Raw genomic sequence first — 10,579 nt, 5'->3', positions numbered from 1 at the left:
CACGCCTGTAATCCCAGCACTTTGGGAGGCTGAAGCAGGTAGATAGAGGGAAACTCTGTCTCAAAAAAAAATGGGGGGGGGGTGGGGGGCGCGCCAGAGAGCTGCCTTGCCTTCTGCCACGTGAGGACACATATAAAGTGCTCTGTATGAGGAATGGGCCCTCACTTGACATGAAATCTTCTGGGGACTTGATCTTGGACTTCCTAGCCTCCAGAACTGGGAGAAATAAATTTCCGTCTTTCATAAATTACCCACTGTAAGGTGTTTTGTTGTAATAGCCTAGATGGACTAAGACAGTGCCCTATTAAGAAGAGACACCAGGTAGCTTACTCCCTCTCCCTTTAGCTCACAAAGAGAGGTCATGTGAGCACACGGCAAGATGGTGGCTGATGACAAGTCAAGGGAAGAGTCCTCAGAATGAAATCTACCTTGCCAGCACCTTGATATTGGATTTCCCAACCTCCAGAACCGTGAGAAATAAATTTCTGCTGTTTGAGCCATTCAGTGTATGATATTTTGTTATGGTAGCCTGAGTAGACTAACACAATGGTAGTTCTAAGTAACAGTTTTTGGAATTACAGAGATATTGATGGCATAAACATTTTTACTGGTTTTGGTGAGTTTCTCCTTCTGTAATTATCCTGCCTTATAGTTAGTCCTTTTCGTTGTTAGAAAATAACTATCTTTCGAGTCTATACAATTGAAAGTACCTTATAATAAATTTTGCTTCATAAGAAACAGCTTTATAGTTTGGTGCCAGTGCACCTGAAAGATCTGCATTCAAATGAGAGGTACTTCTTCTCAGCCTGCATTTTCCTTCTAATCTATGTGGGCAGTTAAGCTGTTCTCTAATGGGTGTGCAACAATCATAGACTCATAGGAAGAACCATAAAGGTAAGATTTTCCAGCCTCTTCATTTTAATCTTCCAAGGAAATAAGAATGAAAGAATAACTATAGCTTCATTACCAAAGGACATTTTAAAACGATGATGCAAGTGGACCTTTACCAAATAATCATACAGAAAGACAAAAATTATATAAAGAATACTAGGTAGATTTAGGAGTTTTTTTTTTTTTTTTTTTTTTTTTTTTTTGAGATGGAGTCTCGCTCTGTCCCCCAGGCTGGAGTGCAGTGGTGCAATCTCGGCTCACTGCAAGCTCCACCTCCCGGGTTCATGCCATTCTCCGGCCTCAGCCTCCCGAGTAGCTGGGACTACAGGTGCCTGCCACCACACCCGGCTAATTTTTTTTTTTTTTGTATTTTTAGTAGAGACGGGATTTCACCGTGGTCTCGATCTCCTGACCTCGTGATCCACCCACCTCGGCCTCCCAAAGTGCTGGGATTACAGGAGTGAGCCACCGTGCCCGGCCCAGTAGATTTAGGTTTTATATTTATTTTATTAAAAAGAAATTTAATTCAACTTGGGGTCCAAATACAATTGGAATTTCAGAAAATACATTTGGTCACCATATTAATGAAATGAAAGCTACTGTCTTCACTTTTGAAGCTGGTAAGGGTATGATAATACATTAGCAAATTTGGTAATTGGTGGAGCTACTTTTTTGGGTATATTTCTTTTATTGACTTAGAGGTTTAAGGAGGTATATTTTGCAAAACTTACTGGAGAACTATGAGGTTATTTTCCTTCTTTATTAAGCAAAGCCAGCTGCTACATATATACCCTTTGGGAATTATTTTGATATGTTATGGAAAATAGAAAGCTAAGTCTTATACAGTAGAGCATGTAACTTTGTAGAAAATCTGTAGTTGTCTTGTAGTTGTTTATTAAAGATGTTTTGAGCCTCTTTTTAATTCAAGGATGTCTTTAGGATCTAGTTTCTGAAAAAAATCTCCAGTTACCATCAAAATGTAATTAGGCCTTTGGAATATTCTACCCTATGTTTTCACTGTCAAGGAAATGACATTACGTTAGCCCTATTTAATTTTCCAGCTATCTTAATAGAATGTGTTGAGTAAGCATTGAGGATTATTATTATTATTATCACCGTCATCGTCATCATCATTAATTGTGTTAAAAGGCAACCTCCGGAGGCACAAGCGACCTGCTGGCAGGGATTATCCACTTTGGAGTGTGCACTGGATCAGTTTTGCTCTCAGCAGTAGGCAGCATTATAATCAATAGAAATTGCCCATATGGGGTTTAAAAGACACTGTGATAATCAAGTTCACCAGAAAGACACGGAAAGTTTTGGAGCTTATTGTAAACCACTACTTTGTGAACTTTCTGCAATTGACTGCAATGTCTAAATCAGAAGACATAGCAGTTTTTTTACACGCTCAGCAAAAATTGCTAACTGGTTTGGTGTGTGTTGTTTAAATAAACATTCACTGAGAGTTTCTTGCATTCTACTGAGTAAATATTAAACTGCACTTTTCTGTTTTTGCTAATGGTCATCATCATTAAAAAGTTCTTTTTAAAAAAATTCCCACATGTTCCTGGTTCAGGTAAACACTCTTTGCCCTGTAGGAAGTTGTGGCTTAAAACATTAATACTTTACCAATTTATGTTTTGATAAAACTTTTGGATTAAAATATCCAAAAGCCTTCGACTTGTCCTTTACATAAATAAATGTGGGCAGGGGAGATTGGGATTTGCAGAAAACTCAAAGCCCCTTTCCAGAAAGTAGGGGTGGATGTAAGAGCTATCTGGCTGCGACATCTCTCACCCCATTGATCACCAGGGTGCCTTTGGCTGATTTGGCTGGCTAGGCAGGTGTCTGCTTCCTCCCTCACTTCTCCATGTACATCCCACCTGAAGCTGCACATTCAGTCAGAGAATCTTCCCTGGTAGAAAAGGACCATTCTTCGGTCAAGGATATATGAGTAGCTGTGCTCCTCTGCTAGAACCTCCAAGCAAGCTCCCAGAAAGTGGGGCTATTTCTTAACCCTATTAAAACTTTGTATCTTGGTGTCATTTGGGAATAGGGCAATGCATAAATTTAGCATAGTAGTAACCTTTCACATAGAGGTTAGAAAGATTTGTTAGAGCATCAAAGGAATAAGCAAGAATAACCCGGAATAAATACCTAAATTAGCATTTCTCAACTGTTAATGACCATAGAATAATCTGGGGAGGGGAGCGTGTTATAAGGAGAGATTTCAGATATACTCTGGAATATCTGAAGTGGTAAAACTTGGAATCATTCTTTGTATTACATATTTTGAGTGATTCTGATGGTGCATGGTCCAGCTACTGCACTTTGAATAATATTGCTCTAAACCTTATGTTCCTTAACTTCTACTTTCTTGGTCTGACAGCAAGTGCCTTTCTTTATTGGATTTCAGAAATTTCAAGAATCAAATAGATAAAATGTGCAACCTTCAGATCTTTAAATGTATTATTTCACATGGCTCCAAAAAAAGTCTGAGTTTGATGGATTTCAATCTGCTTATTAATATAATTAACTTTGTAACATACAAGTGTAACCCATTCTTCCACAACATTTCTCTCTGAGAGGGTGTTTGTATGTGTCTCTTCTCTCCCCAAATGGTCCTGACATCAATTTATTCAAGTGGCTCATACCATTCCTGACTCATTATTATTCATTGGGCTTAACATCTTATCAGCTACAATTTCAATTTATTGGCTTTAAAGAGGATTTTCTAAGTTATATACAAAAAGTAACTTTTCTACCACACAGAGGAAGATATTGTAGGTAAATAAGGCAATATTTATAGCATGACAATAAAAAATACCTCAAGGATTGGGGTATTAGATTGTGTATTTAGTTGTCAGTTATAGATTGCAGGAGTTTATTATGTTAAACTATCATATACCTAGAGTTGAAGTAAAATATGCCAGAATTTTTTAAAAAAGAAATCCCAATTCATCCATTGTATGGAAAACGGAATACTTGGCAGCCTACTTGCATAAAGTGATTTCATTAGTAAGGGGAATTTGTGTGTGTGTGTGTTTTGTTTTGTTTTGAGACAGAGTGTCGCTCAGTCATCTGGGCTGGAGTGCAGTGGCACAATCTCAGCTCACTGCAAGCTCCACCTCCTGGGTTCAAGGGATTCTTGTGCCTCAGCCTCCCCAGTATCTGGGATTACAGGTGTGCGCCACCGTGTCTGGCTAATTTTTTTTTTTTTTTTGTAACCACCCAATGGGTTTACCTTGCCCGCTGCCTAGACAGAGCCGATTTATCAAGACGGGAATGGCAATGGAGAAAGAGTAATTCACACAGAGCCGGCTGTGCGGGAGAAAGGAGTTTTATTATTACTCAAATCTGTCTCCCCAAACATTTGGAGATCAGAGTTTTTAAATATAATTTGGTGGGTAGGGGATAGAGAAGTGGGAAGTGCTGATTGGTCAGGTTGGAGATGGAATCACAGGGGGTCGAAGTGAGGTTTTCTTGCTGTCTTCTGTTCCTGGGTGGGATGGCAGAGCTGGTTCAGCCAGATTACCTGTCTGGGTGGTGTTGGCTGATCTGTCCAGTGCAGGGTCTGCAAAATATCTCAAGCACTGATCTTAGGTTTTACAACAGTGATGTTATCCCTAGGAGCAATTTGGGGAGGTTCAGACTCTTGCAGTCAGAGGCTGCATGACTCCTTAACCTTAATTTCTAATCTTATAGCTAATTTGTTAGTCCTGCAAAGGCAGACTGGTCCCCAGGTGAGAAGGGGGTCTTTTTGGGAAAGGGCTACTATCAATTTTGTTTCAGAGTCAAACCGTAAACTGAATTCTTTCCCAAAGTTAATTCAGCCTTTGCACAGGGATGAACAAGGACAGCTGAAAGGTTAGAAGCAAGATGGAGTTGATTAGGTATGATCTCTTTCAGTGTCATAATTTCCTCAGTTATAATTTTTGCAAAGGTGGTTTCATTCTTAGTAGAGAAGGGGTTTCGCTGTGTTGGCCAGGCTGGTCTCAAACTCCTGGACTCAAGTGATCCACCCCACTTGGCCTCCCAAAGTGCTGGGATTACAGGCATGAACTACCACACCGGGCCTGGGAATTTTATTTTAAAACCTAAAAGACAGACCTTTTCAAATGCTGCTGTTCTTTACTGGACTGTTAACAGTTCCTTATTTGATGGTTTTGCTGGTGTATTAAGGACCTGGTGCAATCAAGAATATTCTGTGTGTTTGCTGGCTGATAGCATAATTATACTAAGTCATCAAGAGACTGTTCTGATTCTAAGGGTAAAAATCCCTTTCTTTAGCTACCACAGGATTGACATGCTTCATTGTCCATTATTCATCATTCTTTTGCTTCCTCTTATTTACAGTCTGGATCAGGAAATGTCCGCCTGGAGATGCTACTGCACATACTTAGGCATCTTGGTGGTTTTGTCTTGATTTTTATTTTTTATTTGCCAAAGAGTTACCTAACTAGAGTTTGATGGTTATTCGAGGTTGTCTTCAGAGGCTAAGTCACTTGTCCAATTCCTGGTGTTTAATTTTTGGGTTTCTTTTGTTGTTGGTGTTGTTTTTTGCCTATGGCTAAGGAGGTCTTTCCACAGTAAATAGATATACAATTCACCAAACACAAAAACAGTCAAACCTGCTGGTTTTCCTCAAGAGGGTCGATGTTTAATTTATTCCTTAAGAAACTTTGCCTTATATTTCTCTCCCTCCTCCTCAGCCTTTTCTTCCTCTTCCTTATGTTTATGGAAAAGCTCAAGCAGTCTTATGTGTTAATAGGCAAGGCTGAGGGCAGAGTTCTGCCTCTGAGAAATGTTTACTCTGGAAATACACAGGAGACATTTGTTTGGTCTGACTCATCCAGACTGGGCCATAAGCCATTTTGGGCAAAAATGAGATGTCTTAAATATTGATGCTTGTCCAGACTAAATTTTATGTTTAAAAAACAAATAAACATGGCCATTGCAACCTCTTAATTAACCACTATTTACCAGTCCACTAATATTTTGATAGTTATCTATCCTTCTAGAGATACACATAAAATTCGTAAACGTAATCGGTTTTCATTATTTTCTCCACAAATGGTTACTCTTGAGAAGTAGCTATTTTCAAGACTTCCATGGTCTCCTCAAATAATAATGCTAGGGAAAATCAATTTATGCATTTACCCATCCCAAAGCTGTTCATGTCTGCGTTGGGGGAGTTGAAGGTATGGAGGGAGGAGAATGCAAATAATACCCTGACCCTGCTTTGTCAGCTTGATCTAATCTTTGCTCTTAAACCTCCCTGCAAATCTGCCAGAAATCGTGAGGGAAAGACTCTGATCTCCTGTTCCTCCCTCTGGCCAGTAGCCCAGGGCTGCTATCATACCCCGCCTCTCTGATTAACCATTGTTCCACTTGAAACACAGAAAGGGAAAAACTAGTTGGACTACTTTGATGCTATTTTTTTAAACTTACACTAAACCTAGTGGAACTCTTCTTTTAATCCATTTATTTATTTGTGTAGTCAGTTATTCTTCACTCATTGTTATATAGAATATACTCCCTACATGTTCAGCAACAGGTTAAATGTAAAGGAGCAGTAATGGGGGACCACAGGGTAGAGGGGTATTGTTGACAAGAGAAAGGACAAGGAATAGAAACAGAAGTCTTCACTATCTTAAAATCTAGCTTGGGGAAAAATTACATACCCAAGTCAAATAAATTAAAGCAATTAAGAAGCAAGGGGAAAAATGTAATATAATAGAACCAGCATACATGAGTGGTGAAAGGGATGTGAGAGCCCACAAACGTTTAGTTCAGTTCAATATTTGAGTAAACATTATGTGCTAGATCCTGTATTTTAAAAAAACATGACAGAAAATAAGATAACAGTGGTAACAATCTGGAGGCAGAGACAGTTAACTTTCTTGCGAGGCACATTGTAGTGAATGTTTTAAGATCTACACAGTACCATGGGGGGGAATTATAGAGGGAGAAATTAATTATGTCTGAGGGGGTTGTAACTGCCCAAGGGGTTCTTCCTGCCTGCTGCCTAAAGACTATGGCACTATAGTAGAGAAAGAGTTTAATAGACATGAGGCCGGCCACCTCAGATGAGAGATGGAGTTCCTACTCAAATCATCTGGTTGGAACCTCCTAGTTTGGGAGTTTTGCAAAGGCAGTTTGGGGGAAGGGGTGGGGATGGACGGGTAACAGGTGCTTGCTGCTGATTGGGTAGGGCTGAGATGAAATCTTAGGGGGTTGAAGCTGTCCTCTAGTGGACTGAATCCCTTCTGGATGGGGCCACAGGAGTGCGGTTGGTGGGTCCATGTGGAGCGATGGATGTCAGACATGCAAAAAAACTGAAGAGATATCCCAAAAGGTCAATCTACAATAGTAGTATTATTTGTAGGAAGAATTGGGGAAGTTGCAGATCTTATAACTTCCAAAATAATGGCTGACAGTCCTTTGTGTCTGCACCTTAGCAGGACTCAGGGGCCCCTCCTCCCCTCAGCCTGATGGCCTCCTGTTAGCTTTACAAAGGTGATTGAGTTTTGGGCAAGGCCTATTATCATTTAAATAATAGCCTAAAGGTCTTCCAAAGTGAGCTTGGCCCAATAGCCCAGGAATAACTAAGGGAAAGGCAAGATAGGGAAGGCAGGGTAGCTCAGCTTATTGTTAGAATTTTTCTCACTGATAATAATTTTTGCAAAGGCAGTTTCAGGGTTAGGAAAGTTCTGGATAAGAAGTGCGGTTTGACCTTGGCTGTGAAGGATGTATGTCATATTTTATAGGTAGAAATGGTTAGTCAGGGGAGGTGGCAGTGTGGGGAAGTGCAGAGTGTGAAGTATGGGGAGTATTCAGATCCTTTGCTGTGTTTCAGTCATAACACATGAGGTGAGGTGCAGGTGGAGGTCAGATGGAAAGACAGGCTAGATGTGAAGGCCCCTGAAAGCAACACTGAGCAGCTGGAACTTTATTTTCTAGAAAATGGCAATAGTGGTGATTTTTGAAGAAAGAAGTAAGGTGAACAAATCTATCGTTTAAGAAGTTAACATTGTGGGCCGGGCGTGGTGGCTCACACCTGTAATCCTAGCACTTTTGGAAGCAGAGGCGGGTGGATCACCTCAGGTCAGGAGTTCGAGACCAGCCTGGACAACATATGGAAATCCCATCTCTACTAAAAATACAAAAATTAGCCAGGTGTGGTGGCGCATGCCTGTAATCCCAGCTACTTGGGAGGCTGAGGCAGGAGAATCGCTTGAACCCAAGAGGTGGAGATTGCAGAGATCGCGCCATTGCACTCCAGCCTGGGTGACAAGAGTGAAACTCCATCTCCAAAAAAAAAAAAAAAAAAAAAAAAGAAGTTAGCATTGTGGTTAAGAGCTAAGTGCTCTGAAGTCTGACAAAATTGGATTTGATAAGTTAATATCTATTGAGCTCCTACATTCCAGGCACTGTTCTAGTCACCTGGGCCATAGTAGTGATGAGTGTTGGCAAGTCCTCTGCTCTCATGGTGCTTACTCTTTAGCAGGGTACAGGAGAGACAGAGGACAGTAACGACAACAACAAAATACATTTTACAGATAGCTTTAGATGGTGGTAAGTGCTATGCAGAAGATGGAATTAGTGAGGTGAATATCTGAGGCAAAGACTTCCAATAAAAGGGAATAGCTGATTTAAAGGCCTTATGTGGGAATGAACTTGATGCGTTTTAGAAACAGACAGAAGGCTGATGTGGCTGGATTGAAGTGACTAAAGGGCTGACATGCAAGAGATTAGGATCTAGAGGAAGGTAGGGGTCTGATTATCATGTCTTTGTAGACCAGGGTAAGGATTTTGTTTTTTACTCTAATCATATCAGGAAGCCGTTAGAGGAAATTTTAAGTAGGGTTTGACATGACATGATTTAGATTTTTAAAAAGTTAGTTCTGCCTGATAGGTGCTGAATTTGTAGGGGATGTAGACAGAAGTGGAGGACTATGTGTATGTTTTAAAGTTAGAACAGGCAAAACTTAATTGAGATCTATTGTTTTCTAGTTATTTCACCTTGAATAAATTACTTAACCTCAGCTCAGCCTCAGTGTTCTCATCTGTAAAAAGGGGATGACATTAGTGATAGATGCAGGAGGAAGATAAGGGGGAGGATCCCCGGAGAATCTCCCATCTATCTGCCTGGGCACTGGGAGAACATGGTGGAGTCATGGGAAGTTCGTGCCGTTTGCAGGGGTGCAGGAGTCTGGCCTCTCCTCTTCCTTTGTGGTACCTGGGATTCAATCGGTGAGCTGGGGGCCTCTTAACAGGAAACCCTCTTGCTTTGCCGAGCGTTTTCTTCCTTTTCACCTAGTAAATTCCGTTTCCCCTCACACTTTAAAGTGTCTGCGTGCCTAACTTTTCCTGGTCGTGTGACAAGAACCTGTTTTTTTCTACAACATTAGTACTGACCTTATAGAGTTGCTGTGAGCATTAAATTAAAATGCCCCGCTATACACTGGCACATCATATGTACTCATTCAATGATAGCAGTTGCTATTATCAATATCATGATGGTGATGATGACTCTGGGTTGGATATATGACAAACTAGAAGCATGGAGATCAGTCAGGAGGCTACTGTAACTATCCAGGGGAGTTAAAATGAGAGGCTGGAGCAGAGCAGTGGGAAAGGAAAGCATCATGTTAATAACATTTAATTAATGAATACCAAACATTTAATTTAAGTAGGAATGTTTAATGACTTATATTCAAATGACTAATAAAGTTTAACATTAGTAAGTGCAGAGAGTAAAAACTCACTTCCATAGTGAGACTGAAAATAAAATTGCTAATGGTTTATTTTCGCTCCTTTAATTCCTGGTAACTAATTACCTTCCTGTATTATCATTTCCTGTCACATAAAACCATGATTCATTTCAAGTGTACTGTTGGGACGTGGTCAAAATACATCAACTTGGCCTTCAAATGAAATGATTGTGCATGAGGTGCACTCTCTTTCGGCTCTGCACCATAACTAAAGTCTTCCTTTGCTATATTTGAACTTAACCTGATTCTTTTGCATTCATGAATAAAAAGAAAGGTAGACTTTCCATTTGTTGTTTCATGCTTTGGGTGAACCTTGTTACCCTAGCAGTGAGAATGAGTTGCTGACTGTATTGGTAATTTTCTTCCAACATCATATGAGTTACCAAGTAAGTCATCATTCTTGGAGTACCAAAGGGCAGTTTTCAGTTACTCATTTCTATTTTCTGATGTTGATCACTCATGATAGACCTGAGAGAAACTGAGCTTCAAAAGGTTGGTCTAATATTTATGAAGTTTAATGCATAGTTACCTAGGTGACATGACATTAGCCATGAAGGTTAAGGCTTATGAATATTAAAAGATTAAAGAGCTCTTTGGCAGGTGTGGATTTTAATTAGTTATTTCCTTACAGAAAAGTGTTGAGAGGCCAGAATTTAAACTACACAAATCATCAGAAAAAGACATATACAATTCAGAAAATCTTGGCTAACTCAGCATTGCAGTTGTTATTTTTCACTGAGTCTCAGGTTTTTGGAAAAACCATTAGGAAGTGGAGTGAGAGAAAAAAAAAACAGTGAATTTGTTGTCTAAGTGTTTTATAAAACACACAAAAGACATTAATTGCTAATGTAATAAGATGAGCATATCAATGCTGATTCAATTACTATTAGAAAATAAAAGATTTTAATAAA

The 10,579-nt window shown here is 39.8% G+C and overlaps 1 pseudogene, besides 1 other annotated feature; it reads left to right on the top strand.

The window, feature by feature from the left end:
- Nucleotides 2,654-3,004, top strand: RN7SKP194 (RN7SK pseudogene 194; annotated as a pseudogene).
- Nucleotides 7,101-7,692: an enhancer, noted in NCBI's record as "OCT4-NANOG hESC enhancer chrX:95660743-95661334 (GRCh37/hg19 assembly coordinates)". NCBI's record gives its function as "activates a minimal SCP1, AML or CMV promoter by ChIP-STARR-seq in naive H9 embryonic stem cells {active_cell/tissue: H9 hESC(naive)}" and the evidence as "EXISTENCE:reporter gene assay evidence [ECO:0000049][PMID:30033119]".

Source organism: Homo sapiens, chromosome X, assembly GCF_000001405.40.
Source record: "Homo sapiens chromosome X, GRCh38.p14 Primary Assembly".
Lineage (NCBI taxonomy): Eukaryota > Metazoa > Chordata > Mammalia > Primates > Hominidae > Homo > Homo sapiens.
The sequence above is the reverse complement of the archived record's forward strand: the minus strand, read 5'-3'. Positions and strand labels throughout refer to the sequence as shown.